Source organism: Homo sapiens, chromosome 2, assembly GCF_000001405.40.
Source record: "Homo sapiens chromosome 2, GRCh38.p14 Primary Assembly".
NCBI lineage: Eukaryota > Metazoa > Chordata > Mammalia > Primates > Hominidae > Homo > Homo sapiens.
In genome coordinates, this window is record NC_000002.12 from 207,074,137 (window position 1) to 207,092,811 (window position 18,675).

General features: G+C 42.0%; 1 protein-coding gene across 13 annotated transcripts in view; it reads right to left on the reverse strand.

Annotated features, from left to right (window-relative positions):
* KLF7 (KLF transcription factor 7) overlaps positions 1-18,675 on the reverse strand; it is a 99,715-nt gene continuing 81,040 nt past the window's right edge. For all 13 annotated transcript variants that reach the window (NR_073108.2, XM_047446149.1, NM_001270943.2 and 10 more), the window contains 2 exons: positions 14,322-14,445; positions 1-7,128 (listed from right to left, as the gene is read on the reverse strand). Coding sequence is in view for 12 of the 13 variants with exons in the window: in XM_047446149.1 (XP_047302105.1) it covers positions 7,077-7,128; positions 14,322-14,445 (176 nt within the window). In the remaining variant the exon portion in view is untranslated. The remainder of the gene's footprint in view (positions 7,129-14,321; positions 14,446-18,675) is intronic.

Genomic DNA, 18,675 nt, shown 5'->3' on the forward strand with positions numbered 1-18,675 from the left:
TTTCTAAAGTAAACATTTATTGGAAAGTTTCTTGTCAGATTCATTTGATTAGGGATAGAGGTTATTCACCACCGTATCCACTTCTGTAAGTCCAAAGAATGCAAAGAAAGCTTGACTACTGCTGTGTCCCATGTGACAAATGTGTTTTACTGCTGTTTCCTGTGAATGACACCACTTCTCTCGGGGAATCGCTGAGCTCGGGATGCTGAGGCGACACCACCAGCTGGGTTCTCTACCTTCCTCCTTACTGGTGATGCTCTTTCCTGGAAGTCGTGTGTGGCAGAGATTTTAGTACTTTTCTTTTCAGTTCTGAGAATTTTCCCTGGGGCTTTCATCTCCCTCTCTTCTCTGGGTCTGAAGCTGCTTGTATTTCCATCTAGTTTTTTGTACTCTCCACAGCCAGCTGGATTTCCTGGCTTCCGGTTACCCATTTCCTCCCCACTCCAACCACCTCCTGTCATTTTACTGCCCCCTACCCCTCACCTAAATTATTCCCTCTGATCTTTACCCTTCCTCCTTCACAGACTGCTTCAAAGATCCTTTCCCAATAGGTTCCTATTAAACACCATCCCAGAACAAACTGCCTCCTTCTCTCGCCAAATAAACCGCTTTCAATAAGCCTCTCCCAACCCCCTAAACAAATAACATCTTGTAATCTCTATCATTCTAAAATATTGCTTTTCATAATCTCCAACAATTGGCTCCCTTTTTCCCCTTGAAGAAATAAACTCAGTGACCCTTATTTGGGCATTGAGCTGCCTCAATGAAACTATAAAATACACACATACGCACACACACACACAACTTCCCAAACGAAGATAACCTAATACAACCTTTTGCTTTCCCTTTCTCCAAGAAAGAAAACTTTCACGAAGTATGTAAGTACCCACTTGCGTCTTTCGAAGATTTTTTTCCCCAGTGAAACAAGCTAAGGAGAAATACAGTAAAGTATTCCAAGGCCAAACACATTCTACTGTTTATTACACATATTACATTCTTAAATAAAAATGCGTCACATAACATTTTTTGCATAGATATCTTACAATATACCAATTTAAAAAAGAATTATGAAACAGACCAGTAACAAAAATAAATTTTTTCTTCATTAATAATTTTGTAACATTAACATACCACCATCATATAATACAAATAATAGTTTTAAATCTTAAGACTTTTGTACAGCAAAAAAACTTGACAAAGTAATATATTTATATATATATATATATAAAAAGCTTAAAAAAAATAAAATGTCAAAAAAAGGCATAACCGAGGGCTATAAGACTGGGTACTTCTGTGATATATTATAAATACCAGAGAAGGCCTGAGAGAATGTGACGGGGGGAGGCGGGGAAGGAGACGGGGCTGGGAGTAGGTCTCTCCAAACACACTTGTTAGACACATCTGGCAAAAAGAAAATGTATAGTGCAAAAATAAATTTATTCAAGCAACTGTTAAGAGGATAATAGAGATTTGAAAGAAAAGTTTCAGTGGCTGGGAAGTTGTGTGGGAGTAGGAAGTGGGAGAAGGAGCTTGACGCGGGGGCGGGTGGGGGCTTGTGGAAAGGAAGGGGAGGCTTCAAAAACATTAGACATTTATTTTTGCCTCTGTGTTAGCAAGGAGATCTTGGCCATTAACAGGTGTATTTTTCCTCCCTGGAATGAAGCAGAAGTGAAAGATAAGGAAATTAAACTAAGTCTGGGTTTAGATAGGAAATGCATGCTGGGAAGAAAAAACAAAAAGGTTGAGAACCAGCCAATAAGCCCCAAAGCCTTCAGGACCTAGGTTTGCAGAAATCGTTCTGCCTCCAGTCCAAAGGCCTAGGTTTAAAATGTCCCCTCTGCCCACCCCCAACCCCTCCCCGCTATGTGGAACTCCCAGTGTGGTTTCGATATACTGGCAATTATAAGCATCCATCCCCCCCAAAAGATATTAGGCACTGGTGGCTACTCCTCCGAAACGTCAGTAGCCTGTTTTCCTTCCGTGAAGGTACGACAGGTACATATGCGCATGTCTAGGTGCGAGCATATATACCACCCTCATTATGCTGACGTGGGGTCCATCTTATGGCAGTAGACAGAAGCTGGACTCACAGCAAGTTACGATTCCAAAGCTCACAGTTGAAAAAAAATTGTATAAACAGTCCCCAACAAAGAACATTATCAACCTTCCCTCATGACCACTGAGAGGGAGCCCTGTTTGAAAAGAATATCTTGTTTGGGATATTTGTGAAGTGATGGCCCAGGATTTCTCTCTCTGTTTTTGACACCTGTTTCCCGAGGACTTTTATGTTAAATGCAAAACACCTGAAAAATACAGTACTCTATTGGAAGGATGCACATAAGAAAGTTAACTGCAGCTTTATTTTTCCCTTTTCTGGGATCTATTAGGAACCAACAGAGGAGATTTAAGAGTGTTAAAAGCAAGAAAAAACCCTGAAGCCTCAGGCAGTTCGTCGTGGGAGGTCACGTTATTTACAAGAAGTTTCTGCTTCCTTTCACACATTTCTGTTGTTCCATCTCAAGTATTCCCAAAGATCCTCACTGAGGAAAGTAGGCCATCAAAGAGACATTGATGTATACTCAGGATAGGCCCTCTAGTTTTCAAACTGAGATATCACCATGTTCACCGAAATTTAATCCAGACACCCTGAATTTGAGTCCTCCCCTCCTGCCCCCCAACTCTTGCGCTTGGCAGGTGGCCACTTCCCGAAAATGCAAAGGAAAGCTTCCAGGAGTAAATTTCAATCAGGTTCTATTTACTGAATGTTCATTTTGGCAATGTTCTGGGTGCAAAATTGTAGCCAGAAATGCTGGCCCTCTTAAGATTTCAAAAAAATTCTAATAAACTAAAAAATGAACCTGATTTTTGTAGTTAAATGTGTTGCATCTTTATCTTACTTTGCCTACCTTCTTCCTGCTCCTAAAAGCAACTCATGCAAAAGAGAAGACAGAAGCACTTCCCACTTTTTACTTAACATTTTATGAAGTGACTTCCATAAAGGAAACCATTTTGAACCATCAAAACGAGTCACTGGGTTTTGTTCTTGCAACTTGAGTTTCTTTTGGCTTTGCCATAAAATGCAGGAATAAAGGCAAGAGGCAATGTTCCGAATGCACTGGAAGAGCCATCCAAAAGCCCCATTTCTTTCCCCTTTGATGCAAATAGACATGGATAATCTGGAAAGCTTATCCCAAACAAAAGTCCTTATAAAATCTTCTCTGAAGCCAGAGAAGATTTTTTAAAACTAGGATTCAGTTCTGCTAATCAGGCATGAGGTTGGCTGTCCTTTTACCCTGTTATCATCAGGCAATCAAAGATGTACAAAGGGCACAAGAGGTGCAGGTGGAGAGGAGATGGCGTCGAGAGAAGAGGATATTTGAAGGGCTTTGCAAGGGAAAGCACACAGAGAGGAGGAAATGGTCAGCATGAAGTTCATTTTGGGGTCTCCAATATTTTTACAAAAATGCAGCTTTGTCATGGAATCTGAACATCTCTTTTTCTGGACATAATACTCATTACCACCAGGCATTGAGCTGAGCCATTAACCATGGGTGGGGCAGGAGGCCAGTAGCTAGGAGCAGCATTATAATTTCAGGTTTCCATGTCTATGACTTACAGTCATGTGGCAGGAGAAAGAAGTATAATTTGAAATTACAAAAAAAAAAAATTGTCAGTGGCTTAGAAACTCTTTTTCTACATGAACAAATCTGAACCCTGGATAAAAGCGTGCTTGTTAGGACACCACCAGAAACACCAGGCCGGGTTTTTCCTTTCAAATTTGGGATCCCCTGGAGGGTTAGGAGGTAACAACTGAAATGAGAAAGGGGTTTAATGTGTTTCAAATGTCCATTAATGCACTGTTTTAAATAACCAGTCCTCTTGGGAGCAAAATGTCTTCAGGTTACTTCTTGGAAAACCTGCTCGCTCTAGCGGCTCTTAGTAACCATCTCTGCCACTGCAGAGGTGATGGACGTTTTATTACAAATCCATTTCCAAAATGATCAGGACTGGTCATCATTCACAGGTGTCAACTCGGCTAAAGAAGAACAGTTTCAAAGCCATCCACTTAGCACCCACCAAATTCTTAGGCCAATTCTCACAGTCAACAAATGACTCTGAAGCAAGCAAGCACCACCATTGAGTTTCAATGCACCCTGCTCCAAGAAAGGTCAGGAGCAGATTACAAAGGACCTCACTGATACAAAAGAGAGAGAAATTACTGAACATTTCAGACACTGATGAGGACCAAAGGGCCTTTGTTCTGCCACATTCAAATGAGACCACAGATGAAAATAGGGAGCAAACAAGCAATGATTACTCTTTTGCATTTTTTAAACTTTCTTTTTAATAGAGCCTTGCATTGGTCAGTTCGAAAATTAAATTAAGTATTATAAACCCTTAATAATAGCATTCGAGAGGCAAGAGCAGCTCCAGCTTGGGAGAGAACATTTGCAAATCGTGGTGGCCATGGCTTAATGCCATCACTGGCGTGTGCGTGCATTCATGCTGGAGGCTGCTACATAAAGGAAAAGAAAGGAACCAACAGAATTCAGGGTGTCTAAAAGTTTCATCTAGTGCACTGACTGGAGGCGCTACAGTTTAATACAGCTGAGGTTCAAGGTCCCTCACACATCCTTCATCCAGGAAGGATGCACCACACATTCAAATATAATCCCATGGTACGCCCTGATGGACTGGCCACAAAATGCACTCAAATGCAGCAGAGAACTACGAGATTGTCAGCAAGCAGTGCTCCAGAAATTGTTTTTAAGTCATGTCTAGTTTTAAATCTTTGGAATAAAACTGATTTTTAATACCCTCCAACTAACATACATACAATTGCCTCCGGCAAATGGACAGATTTTGTGTGTGTGTGCGCGTGTGTGTTAACGGGTGTTCTTTCTTTTTTTTTCGTTTTGTATTATTTTGTTTTTTTTTTTGTTTTTGTTTTTGTTTTTTTTGGTCTAAATAGAAAAAAGGAAAAGGAGAAAGTAAATTCTTAGGGCCAGACCTCGAAATGCCCCAAGTGTCCAATTGGCAGCTATAGCATTTGTGAGGAGGTTCCTTTGCCCTCAGACGAGTAGTTTCAACATTTCAGTGAAAACAAAGGTTGCAGAAAGCTGAAAACCCAGATCTTGAAGGTTGCTGTCATATATGTGTTTGTGTTTCTTATATTATTTCCTTTTGACTTCAGTTTTGCATCCCAAATATGTATGGGGTGGCATTTTAACAGTCAATGAGTCAAACAGTCAAAGGAGGACAGGAGGGGAGCCAGCTGGTAGGAGGGAGCAGCAACCGTGTGTGGACCAAGCGCCATTTTTGTTTTATAGACGTGTCTTGAAGGGATGGTCCCAGAATATACAAAATATACAATCTGTCCTAATAACCACCCCGCTTGCTTGCATAGGCCATTTGATGGTCCTAAAGGCAGTCTTTGGAGTTGAGGCCAGTGCCAGCTAGCTAGGAATGCGGGTAGATAGAGACCACTACTGGATGTGTGAGTGTGGCATGACAAGTAAGGACTGTAGACTCCTTTGGAGTCAGCTTGCAGAGTAAATGTGAGGCCTCTGTTAATCCTGGGGGTTCTAGGTCACAAGTCATGGTGGGCCTAGCCAAAAAAAAAAGGAAAGAAAGAAACGTGTCTCTCCTTTTAGACAGCCCATGAGAGAAACACCTCAACCTTTTCCTTAAATGTCAACCCTTCACTCCCACAATGGCGTTTTAAATTGTGTATTGTAACACGTAGGGGAATAGGAGCTCAGTGGGCATGACAGAGAAGACAGGATGATCTTTTGTGAAGCCACTAGACTTGGGAGGCATCCTCAGTTTTCCCCACTCCTGGAAAGAGTGATATTTTTGGCTTTTTGTCAGGTCATAAACCAGAGTTAAATTAAATACGCAGCTGCCCTCTGAGACTAGCGACATCTATGCTGTAACTGGTTATGGGGTAGCAATGACACACAGCACAACGGTTGATCACTATGAGCTGAGGTCATCATGCCTCAAGGAGGATGAGAGAACTGTGATGTCCCATCTGACTGGCTGCTTCGAGAGCTGGACATCCAGGTGCCGAGAGAGTCCTGGAGAGGTTTAGTCCATGGAGAAAAGATAAAACATTTAAGCTTCCAAATAAGCTTTTCAAGTTTTCGTTAGCAAAAACGGAGAGATTAAAAAGAAAAAATCTAGCACTGGCAATAAGGTGAGGCTCAAGGGATATACTGTGATTTATCATCAAGGACTTTATTCTCTTGGCCACTTTGCAGTCATGCTAGAAGTTTCCAGAATCCCTAGTGCATATGGTGTGCAAAAGTCAAAACGTAAGAAAAGAAAACTCCTCCCTTGAGAGTGAAGTCTACAGAAATGCAGGCCAGAAAGGTGTAAGGTGTTATTCCAGTCTGCCGCCGCTAAGGCCGTTGGGATCGACGCGAAAGATCTCAATAGTACTAAGAACCAAAACCAGTCAACAGTTCTGTGAGGAAGTCTGACGCACGGAATAGTAGGACTTTTCACACACAAAGGACAAATAAACCAAGAGTTAATTTTGGCTACCAAACTGCAATTTGGTTTTCTAGGTCATTTTCCCCCAACTATTTAAAAAGAAACATTAGTGCTACACATATGCAACTTTAAGATGCTGGATTCTCCTATCAAGTTGCACTGAGAAGCAAGTGAAATAAGCCCCTCGGACTGCCGTCCACCTGCACAGACGTCACATCCATTTTCTTTGATTTCCATTGGCAACAGCGGGAAATAATTCCAATAGTGCTGAAGTAAGCAGCCAGTCTGCCTTGCTGAGTTCACCTGGTTTCCTTCTTCATCTTCTTCCATCTGGCTAGGGCAAGGCATAAAGAATAGACGTATATATTTTAAATATAGTTGAGTGCATGACAGTGTGTATGTGTGTGGGTCTGTGAGTGTGTGTATATGTGTGTGTGTGTGTGTGTGTGTACAGAGGTTTATAAGTGAGAACTTTCTTCTGCGAGGCAATGGGTCCCCGCCTGAAGTCCAGCCCCCTGCCTCATGGCGTTTCCTTTAGACACTAGCCGATGCCATGGCAACTCTGGCCTTTCGGTTTTTTAGATATGTCTCTTCATGTGGAGGGCAAGATGGTCAGACCTGGAAAAACACCTAGGAGATATAAACAACAAGGATATTAGAGAACTCCCAGCAAACAGCTTGACTTGCATCACTCCTTAGGAAATGATTTCCCTTACTTTAAACAGAGACAGTGCACATGCATTGAGAAACAGGGCCATGTGTTGGGAAGGTAAGTTTAAGGGACAAAATGTTTGGGTTTAAATCCTATCTCTTCCAATAGCTGTGTGACTCGGAGCACATTAACCTGTCTGTACTTTAATTCCTCCTCAGTAGAGTGGGGATAATTATAGCATTTACCTCATAGGTGGGTTGTGAGGATTAAATGAGATGATCTATGCAAGGTACTTAGAATACGGACTGGCACATCGTAGGATCTCAGTGCATGTTAACTGTTATGATCATAATTGTGATTATTAAAGAAGAATGGGAAAGTGCTTTTGAAACCTGTGTCATGCCTGCATACTGTAAATATAATAAAGAATAATTAGTCTATATCATCAAAGGGTGGAACTTTGAAATTTCAACACCCAGATTTCAACCCTAAACTTTACAATGAAAGCCTAGAAATACTGCTTGTGATACTACTTACAGGCTTATCAGACACTCTATATTCAAGTCAAAAAAAAAAAAAAAAAAGGATGAAGAAGGGTGCTCACAGTTATTGAGTATGTTACGATATGTAGGCACTATGCTAAGGGTTTTCCCAATATCACGCCATCCTCACCAACCCTCCATGGTAAGTATTCTCACGCTTTGTGTGTGTGTGTGTTGGGGGCAGAAAGGAGGGGGGTGAAGGAAACTGAGGCTAAGGTGTTTCTTGGAACCTAAGGCCCATAACTGAGTGCCTTCTTCATGTCAGAGTGGATCCAGTGGTCATCTTCTTTCCTCTTTCCTCTAACACCAGCTATTTGATATTCTCTTGGGTACCAACCCTTCTGCATTCTCATTTGTGTGAGGCTGAAGTTGTGGCCACAGTACTCTGCTAAACAACAGCCATGTGACCTGTAAAGGCCAATGAGAACCAGCCCTGGGACATCTGCTGAAATTATTGGAAGAGAGAAGCTCTCTTTCCACTGGGATCCTGGAGTGACTGGTGTCTATACTGCCCTTGTGGTAAAGAGTTGGCTGGAGAATGAAGTCAACAGAGAAAAAGGGGTTCTGGGGGATAGAAAGAGTCCAGATGATAATATCAGAGAAGCTGGATCCAACGAAGCCTAAAGACAAATCTAATTCTGTTCTTCTTAGTTACCTGAGCGCATAAATACCCTTGGAGGCTAACTGCAGTCTATAACATACAGAAACCTGACAGTATGGGTGTTTCCAAATCCCTGCAGGCTTCAATCTCAGGTTCTGAATGAAATCCCAGTGAAGTCAGCCTACATGACAGCAGTCATTCTGAGCTCTGAGTGTATGCTCTCCCCCTGGATCATTCGCCTGAAACTAGCTGCTTTCTAACCTATGAGAAAGTTCCCAGGCTCCCTGAAGCCTGAGACACCCCTACAGTCCAAAACTCCTGTCAGAATGTTAGCAAGCTACACTGTTCAGGTTAGCAGGGTTTCCTGTTCAGGGCAGGATTTCCCTATGTTTGTTCATTCTTAAAACAAACAAAAAATATCCACCCTTTCCCTTGACCGCAACATTCTCCACACCCCCTGTTTGTGTCCATTCCTTAAATAGGCACATGTGTAGGATAGAACTCCAAGGGAATGAAGTGAAATGGGACAAGAGTAAAACGAAAACCACATAAAAATGCGAAAAGTACAACTGAAAACAATCTAATCCAATAACATGCTGCATAATAACAATTCCAATTATACCCACTTACTTCCAGCCCTGACTTTGTATGAGGAAGATATTTAGATAATCCCTTAGCGATGCCTCTAAAGGGGGTTTGGTTTGCAATAAAACAGTGTCACTAAGTTTTCTTTAAAAACTAGTACTCCATGTCACTGGTACACAGAAAAATCAATACAGCCCGCAGGGAATTTAGCGTCTAACTGGCATAATTCATGTCCTGAGGGTACAACTCAGTATTGCCCACTGCCTGTTCTCTTTCCCTCTCTCCCTCTCTTTCTCCCTGCCTTCTTTCTTCCTTCTTTTTCTCTCTTTCCCTCCTTCTTTTATCCCAACAACCTGGAGAAAGAAGATCCAAGTTGGGACATTCTGTTTGTAGGTATTTCTTTTTTAAATGTAACATCCTTATAAGATCCCTATAAAGAAGGTACCATTCTTATTCCCACTACCAGATGAAACATTCATCAGAAAGAGGATTTGAACACAGGCAGTCTGACGCCAGAGCCCACACTCTTAGTCACATCTGCTTAACCACATTGAGGAGAAGAGAGAACTGGGCTGTCAATTTAAGGAGCTTCTGGTAGGCAGAATAATGCTCCCTCCAAAATGTCTACACTTCATGCCCAGACACTAGGACTATGTTTGGTTACATGATAAAGAATTAAAGTTGTGGATGGAATTAACTTATGAATCAGCTGACATTAAACAGGGAGATTATTCTGGATTGTCTGGTTGGGCTCAATGCCATCACAACGGTTCTTAAAAGTGGGAGAAGGAATTGATAGAACCAGAGAGATGTCAGCATGAGAAGGACTCAACAGCTTTAATGATGGAGGAATAGCATCATGAGCCAAGGAATGTGGGCAGCTTCTAGAAGCTGGAAAAGGAAAGGAAATGGATATTCCCCTAGAGCCTCCAGAACAAAAATGCAGCTCTGCCAAAACCTTGAGTTTAGCCCAGTGAGACTTGTGTTGGACTTCTAACCTAGAAGTTTCTAACCTACAGAACTGTAAGACCATAAACTTGAAAAGTATATAAACATGATACTAAATTTGTGGCAAGTGGTCAAGGCAGCAACTAGAAAATTAATCCTGAGGTTAGGCTGGTCAGGCCTGAGGAGGATGTACCTGTGAGAAGCAACAACGCAGACACCCAGAAGCCTGCCTGTCCAAGAGGAATGCTGGGATTTGAGATGGTAAGGAGTGAAGAGAGGGCCTGGCAGTGGGAAACCCCTTTCCTTTCCTTTCTATATCCTGGGAACTCTCGGGAAATGAGTATTCTTGATACAGAACTTTATTTGAAAGAACCATTCAGTAATATATGTGTTCGGCTTTATATCTGCCTTTACCAATTACTGGGTATTTAGCAATATATGTATAAGCATCTCCCTTTATCCTTCAAATTCAGGGAAAAAAAAGTGGAAAAAAGTAAACCAAACCTTTAACATGGTAGGAAATGTAACTGCACCCCTACTGAATCAAATGAGCATCATTATTTGTTCAAATTCCAAAAAAAAAATGTATGATGCTCAGGATTAGACCAGGTCCCTTACTATTGAGGTTTTTATTTAAATTCAATACCCCAGCAAGGTACTTAGTCATGATTAACTTATACTTATTAATTTATACTTACTGAATTCCACATAGGAATAGTAAAAGGTAATAGATAAACTTGGCATCTAGAAGTGCAGAATCAAATAATTTTAAGAGTAATATACCCCTAGAGGGTATTTATAACTTTACAGCAGCCAGGTGACCTTAAATAAGAAGGTCCTTAATTACTGAAATTTGTACATAATGGAGAACTAGTCAACCCCACAGTCATTTCTCTCGTTTATGAAAAAGGCACACTAGGCCAGGCGTCGTGGCTCGCGCCTGTAATCCCAGCACTTTGGGAGGCTGAGGTGGGTGGATCACTTGAGGTCAGGAGTTCAAGACCAGCCTGACCAACATGGCAAAACTCTGTCTTTACTAAAACTACAAAATTAGCCAGGCATGGTGGCAGGTACCTGTAATCCCAGCTTCTTAGGAGGCTGAGGCAGGAGAATCGCCTGAACCCCGGAGGCAGAGGTTGCAGTGAGCCGAGATCGCACCACTGCACTCCAGCCTGGGCAACAAAGCCAGACTGTCTCAAATGAAAAAAAAAAAAAAAAAAAAAAAAAAAAAGGCACACTAACGTCACATAGGGATTAAGTCAACAGCAATCTCCTAGGTGACCAAGAGGCTAAGATACGGGCTGGTATTTCTTACCACTTATAAGTGGGCTGACATAAAGATCAAAATGCACCCTCTAAACTGCCCAAGAACTGGAATGTACTATGCTAGTAGCTGTCTCCCTGGATTATAACTGCACTGAGTCAGTCGGTAGAATGAGGGCCTGCATGTTACCACTGATGGAAACTGAGCCCTATCTACCACCATCAGCAGCCTCCAACTCTGTGGGTTGAAAAACCACTTATCCCTCTAGCCACTGGTCACTCAGGGGGGCTGCACTGTCCAGTCAGATGGTGAAGAAATGGCACTACTACTGTGCTTTCTTTCCTAACCCAAACATGAAGCCAGAAGTCACAAAACCCAGTGTCTGCAAGGCCAGGCAGATAAAGTATGTGCCGTGGGTCAAGTGTAAGAAACACAGCACTCTTGGGCTATCTGTTTCCACTTCCGATAAGGCATGGATACAAAGAAGTATAGCTCTTCTTGTAAGAAGAAACAACAGAAAGCGGGACAATACTTGGCAACCAATGGCTTGCCTTTGAGTTGTGGAGCCACAGGGAGTGATGGGAACAGTGGAAACATAGTCATCACATGGCTATGGCAAATGGGTAATGATTGCTCTTCAGCTACATCCAATTACAGCCACATGGGAATGTGAGCCCACTGTGGCCAGATCTGATTTTTCCAGACAAAGCCAGAAATACAAACTTTTTTGTGTGACATTTAACGATTTTAAATGTTGGCCAAAAAAAAAAAAAAAACCAAACCAAAAACGTCATGAATTTTTTAAAACTACCCTATAGGCAAAATAAAAGCATACGTTAGACTTGGTACATGCTTAAGGAAAGGAAGTCTAAACCCTACTTAACTTCTAAATAGGGCAGTGTAATTGTTCAAATTTTAAGAGACAAGAGGTGGTGCACTCATATATACTGCGGTACCAACAGGATGCCATGTCCTGCCAAGGGCTACAGATGCCCTCTGTTTCTGAAGGTAAACATCTTCTAAGGAATGCCAACTCCCGGTCACTCCAGGCTTTCCTTTCATCTGCTTTGGGACCACTCCAGTTCCCCATGTTGCCTCCCAGGCCTGGCTATTCTTAGCACAGTCACCGTAATTGAAACGCCAAGGTGCTGCCTGTCATGAGACACTAATGGGAATACAAACTCTCATTTATGATGCTGTCGAAAATGCACTATTGGCCTGTGTCGCGGGACGCTGATCTACTCAATCTCCCACAAATACCATGTTGCAGAATTTGTACCATCTGCTCAGCAAATTTCTAGCTCCAGAAACTGTAGTGTATTTTAAAGAAGAAAACAAAGCAAAAGACTAACCAAATCACCCATCTCTGACATCTCTTTCAGTGAAATAACCAATCGGTTTGGAACATTTCTCCACGTAAATCATACAAAAGACCAGATTAAATCCAAATACATCAACTGCTGGAAGGTTGTAAATCAATAAGTCAGTTGATTTGAAGAGTGGAATACTAACTTTGGCAATTTCCCCATAAGAACTCTTTGTCCACATCCAATAATTACGGCTACCCATAATGCTCACAATCTCCAAGTAACAGCCTCCACACCCTTCAGAGCTGGGCAACTTGTGTGTACACGCTACCATCACACTCTGACCACTCACAAAGAATTCACCTTGGTCCCAGTTGATGTAACAGAACACTCTCCTTCAAAAGACTATGGACAGAGAGTCACCATCTGCAGGGCTTCTTTATTAGCCAGAGTGAGAGAGGCACAAAGCAGAGAAACTTGAGATGGAAATAGAAGGAAGATGGGGAATAAGGAGAAACTCTCCTGGAGCATACTCTGTAGAAGACAGCTGCTGATTCATGTAAATACAGGAGGACTTCTAGGTAATGGATGGAAATGTAATAATAACTTGTATTCTTGGGTAGCAGAACAGAGTTCCAAGGGAATGGGAGACAATAACTGCATAAAGTACACTTCCTCAGCCCTGGAGTGGGAGGTTATCTCTGGGCTCCAGGACGCATGGGGTCTTTATTTAGTACTTAGAGAATGAAGATAAGAGGAAAATAGCTTCCCAGGAAGAAGGAAAAAAAAAGGAAGAAAAACATAACTGCTCCTTTATAAGCATCCTAAGGGAGCACTAAGCCAACGTGACCAGTCTGGACACCCCTTCCCTATTCACCAAACACTACTACAGAGGAAGCCCTGGTGAGGGGGAGGTGTGGGACACAGGGACTGGGGGAGACAGGATGCAAAAGCGATCCCATTTCCTCCCAAGAAAAGCCAGGCCCCTGCTGCCATCCTGCAAGCTGGGGAACCCTGAGGCTTTCAGGGGCTTTTATCGTATTAGAAGCATTTTTCTCATCATAACCGAGACCTTTAGTATTGCATTAAAAAGATGGTTAATTTTCTTAAGCTTCCTTTTAAACACAGAAATAGGATTAGAAGGATAACACGCTCAGATGCAAGCCCATTATTTGATTATGTCTAAACCTAATCCTGCCTTCACCTTGGCCTGCAGAGTCTCCATTTTGGGGTTTATTGGTTGATAATGCCAGGGCTGTCAGATACTATTACTTGGGTAGTATCTGTTGCTACGTGCTCTTTCTTCTACTATTGAATGCAGAAGGCTTAAAATTGAATTACAGGAGGAGTTCTCAAAACCTTGTCATTTTTTGCACCCTTGTACCTATTTTCAAGGAAGAAAGAATGATCTGGGCCCCCAAAGAATGGGAACTCTGTTCAGTACAATTCATTTCCAATAATGGGTTCAGAGAAAAGCCTTATAGTGATAGGAACCCTAACCTTCCTTCCATTAAGCAAGCTTTCTACTCTTTCTTATTACTATAGATGAGGGAAAGTGGTACTGACATTGATACAAAGATCAGAAGTCCCTACAGATGACCATTCTCTGTCTCACTACTTTTCATATTATACTAAAGTTATCTGTCACATCTTGTTGATACCGAGTGATTAACACCATTTCTGGCTCAAAGCTAGTGTTCTGTAAATGCTTGTGTAACTGAACCAAGAATTCACACCACCTCTTGATTTCATGCAAGAGGGCACCCCCTCTTCTCACTGGTCCTCTCCATGGAGAAAAGGCATTCCCAGGTCCAAGTGTCTGTGAGTCAGACCTGTGATAAGTCCAAGCACACGGGTGCTGCTCACCCTCCAACCCACTTCCCCATCTCTCCTCCCTAGCCCATCAACTTCTACTTCTCTTTACCTGTCGCAGTGGTTGCATTTGAAGGGCTTTGCACCTGTGTGTTTCCTGTAGTGCCTCGTGAGCTCATCGCTTCGTGCAAAACGCCACTCACATCCCTCCCATGAGCACTTATAAGGCTTCTCACCTGCAAGAAGAGATGGAAGGACCGTGGTCAGCAGCAGGAACAAAAGGGATTACACCCAACCAGCCTGTGCTGCCTGCTGGTCAGGCTTGGGAAAGGGCTGTTTAACTCATTCCTGAAAGACTAGATTTCCTAACATAGTATACCACTGTCTTTTGGGTTTTTTTTCCAAATCTCCTGGTGTTTTGTTTTTTGTTTTCTTTTTTGTTAACCTTCAAAAGTGGTTTCACCAGATCCTCAAATCTGGAGCTGTCATTTTAGTTCCCAGAGTCAGAGCATTTCCTCTGACTGGTGAAGGATCAATTTTTATTTATTTTCGATTCCCCGGAGCACTTTCACCCCCACAGTCCAGGCAGAAAGGAAATGTGCTATTTTCATCTGAACCACAAATGCTTCTAATTCTATTTTTCTCCAGAACCTACACTCATTTGCCATTTCAGGCTTTTTAGTCTTCTCCCTCCCCTTCCCTCCTACCACAAGCTGCAGCCAGGTAGCTGACTGACAAAGCAAACAGCTTAGGTCTCCCAGAGCCACCGTTCCTTCCAGTAAATGTGATGGATGGACAATGAGGAGAAAGGTCTACAATTTCAGAGTAAAACAAAAATCACTTGACAATCCCTGGCATTTATGGAAAATACTATCACAAAAGTCTGAGTTAGGAAGCTCATAGCTTAACAACTGCAGAGTGTTCTTATTAGAGAATAATATACATTATTGTAAAATATTTTCAAAATCAATTTGGAGAGCAAGGTTTTAGCCACAGGGAAGCTGCTTATAAGCATGAAATTCAAACACTTGTGCTCAAGTGACCTTTTCACACAGTAAATACAGATGGAAGGATATGTAAGAGCAAGTACATGACTTTGCCTTAGACCTTTTTTTTAACTCATCATGTCTGTCACCAAACATGACAAATATTTACCCTTCCAACTGTATGGTGGACTGGTTCTAATTAAAAAGAAAAATAATCTTTGGAAACCTGTGAAATCATGAAGCTGAGTTACTGAGCCCCGTCACTGAGAGGCAGGTTAGTATGTGGTTAAGAGCTTTGAAGCCAAACTTCTTGGGATCAGCTTCTAGTTCTGTCCTTAATTGTCTGACCTTGGGCAGGTTAACAAACCTCTGTGTGTCTCTGTTTTCTTAGAGATAATAATAATAGGTACCTCAAAGGGTTTAGAGAAGATAAATCAATACACATGCATATTATATATTAATTAGAACAATGCCTGGCATATGTAAGAGTCACATAACTAATAAACATTAAAAACCGCCAAACTCAAAGTTTCAGGATACCTAGGTGCCAAAGTACTATGGCATCCCATTATTTCCCCAGTTTTAAAAGCTAAATCTTTACTAGGCAGCCCTGAAGGAGACATTACCCAGGTACTATACTTGACCTACTTTCTTCTTTCCACCTTTCCCCTTCCCTTTAAACCTGACTACAAAGCATTCACAATTCTTTATTTGTATCACCTAGAATCAAACCAAACATGCTTGAAAATTTTATTTCATTAAATTGGTGCCCTAGTGAGCCACTGCTCTGTAAGACCCACAGAGAAGGGGAACGAGAAACACGGGCATTTCTTTTAAAGGGAACCAAGAGGACATGAAGGAGGGCTGGAGGCACAGGAGGAAACCCATTCAGTTTTGGAAACCAGGAAAAAAAGAGGATGAATCACTGAGCAGTGTTAAAAGTTCACCTTCTGGCTCCTTTAAGCCAAAAGTTTAGAAAAGATGTGCTGGCTGAAGAAAAGGTAGCCAAGTGGAGGTGCCACATAACCTTTGGAGTCAGCCTACTTGGGATCTTGCTGCGTTCATTCCAGACTCTAGAACTCAGTGTATTTGTCTGTTAAACGAGGGTGAGCTTATTAATAAATCCATGTTTATAGTGAGGTTTCAATCAGTTGTGCGTAAGAAACGTTTGTTCAGCCTTGCATGCAGTCAGTATTCAGTTCCTGTCTCAACTCCCTTTCCTCTGCCTGTGTTCACAGAGGTTACTAGGAAGACAGGCCCTGAAATCGCTGTCAATAAAATCCTTCAGAGCTCATGGCTCCAGAAAGCCAAGTCTACAGACATGCTGGGTATCTGAAATATTAGAAACAGAGAGTCTTTTAAGTATTTTCTCAGCATATTGATGGAGAATGAATCCAAAACAGGGAGTGTTCTTTAGGACTGCTCTGAATGAGTAGGACACACAAAGGGAAGTAAGAGATCCCAGCACCCTGCAGGAGAGACATGTTAGCATCATGTATTTAATGCTGCTGATCACCCACTAGGCTCTGTTATCTCAAGGGGAAATCTGGCACAAACAAAAAAAGGAGAATGAGGCACCTAAGACTTTGGAAATTCAAAACGCCCTCCACCCATGAAGGCCTTCGAATGTAGTTAAAACTGGAGGTTCCTGGAACCTTGGGGACCAAACACACTTCCAATGCAATGAGGCACCTAGGAAATTCCATGAAATTCTACAGCAACAAGCAGAGACATCTAGTTCCCAGAATCAATCCCAAAATCGAACTGACTTGTCTATCACAGGCAACCACATTCTGAAGGACACAGGAAGGGCAGATAAAATGAAGAAGACTGAAGTGGACGTCTTTGGATATTTTTTCCCATTTCAAACTGTTTGCTTTTCCCCTTGCTGAATTCCTTTAACTAGTTTCATTTTGACAAATAATATCAAGGATATAGTTCTTTTCCAGAAAATGATAAGACTCTTAGTTACTTCCCAGTACAAACCAACTCTCCAACCCAGGAGCTATTTCAGTGTCCTCGTGGCTGTGTCCACTATTGAGAAACTGCAGATAGCTTGACTTAGCTCTGAATCTTATCACCTGACATTGTTTCCTGCTTGCGGCAAACACTACTCAGAATAATACTGAGGACAGGCTCCTTTGTGCCCTGATATTTTAGCCATGTTACTATTATAGTGATTTATCAAGCTATTTTTCCACCATCTGGCTAGTTTACTGACAAGTTGCCATTCCTGCAAATACTAATAAAAAATTTAAAATAATCAAGAATGCCCAATGAAGGAGCAGTGCCTGAAGGCAGAACTCAGAAATCAGAGAAGCAGAAAAAATATATATAAAGAATTGGGAATATGACTTTATATTTAGGGCACAGGAATTGTGGAGTTAGACTGGCCTTGTTTCCAGGTTCTATACCCACCTCTATAAACCAATTCCTACTGGAAAGGCAGGTCAGGGAAATTCTTCTGTCAGTATTTTCAGCATGGCCAAGACTGCATCTCCCTAAACACCAACAGCCACAGCTTGATCTTGGAGGGTGGACATATCTGTAGCCATGATACATTTGTTTTCATCCTTAAAAGCCTACCTGAAGATTTCTGCTCATTTCATCAAAGGCTGAATTTCTTTCTTTATAAAAGAAAAAAAGAAAGGCTTTCTTTATGAGAGAGAGGAAAACTGCACGTCAGTGGTACCAGAGCAGGTTTCATGCAAAATCAGCTCTTCTCTTTCACTCTCCCTTCTTTCACTTTCCCTTCTCTCCTTCCTCCACTCCAGATACTTCTCCTGGGTATAAAACAGAAACTGTCATGGCCTTGCACAACACTATGCTGTATCGCACTTGGAATGATGCACACTGTTCAGCTCACTGCACCTCTAGAGTGAACAAAAATGCTCAAGAGTGGTCTATGTGAGACAGGTAGATGGAAGAGAGACTTAAAAACCCAGGACTCCAGTCCAGGAAGGGCATGTGAGTGAAGGCAAGGACACCACCCAGAGGGTGGGTGAGGCAGTGAGGCTGTGCCCCCACAGCTCACAATGCTGGAGGCAGAGGACACCCTCAGGACCTCCTAAATGTCAGGGTGAATATCAAGAACCACTTTCTCTGTCTGGCAACAACCCTAGGATACTTGTTTCCCTGGGGGAGTAGTATATGCCACCTCAGAAGTGAGAGTAAGTCTCATGAGGTGAAAACAGACTTATAGCCAGATGAGGGCTCGTAAGGAGAGGTAAGGGTGCTTGAGAAACAGGACTGACATTTAGAGAGGTTAAATCACGTCAAGAACTCGCGTTCTCCCACAAAATTCATCTGAAATGAAATGTGGTCTAAACCAGTGTGGCATTTTGTTAGTTTCTTACAGGGTCACTCTCCCTATATCGTGATCATCAGAATTGACTGATCAAAAAACACTGCCATAAATACTTTTTGAGCATGCATCTATGATATATGTAGGCTTATTCATGAACCATACAGATGTACTAA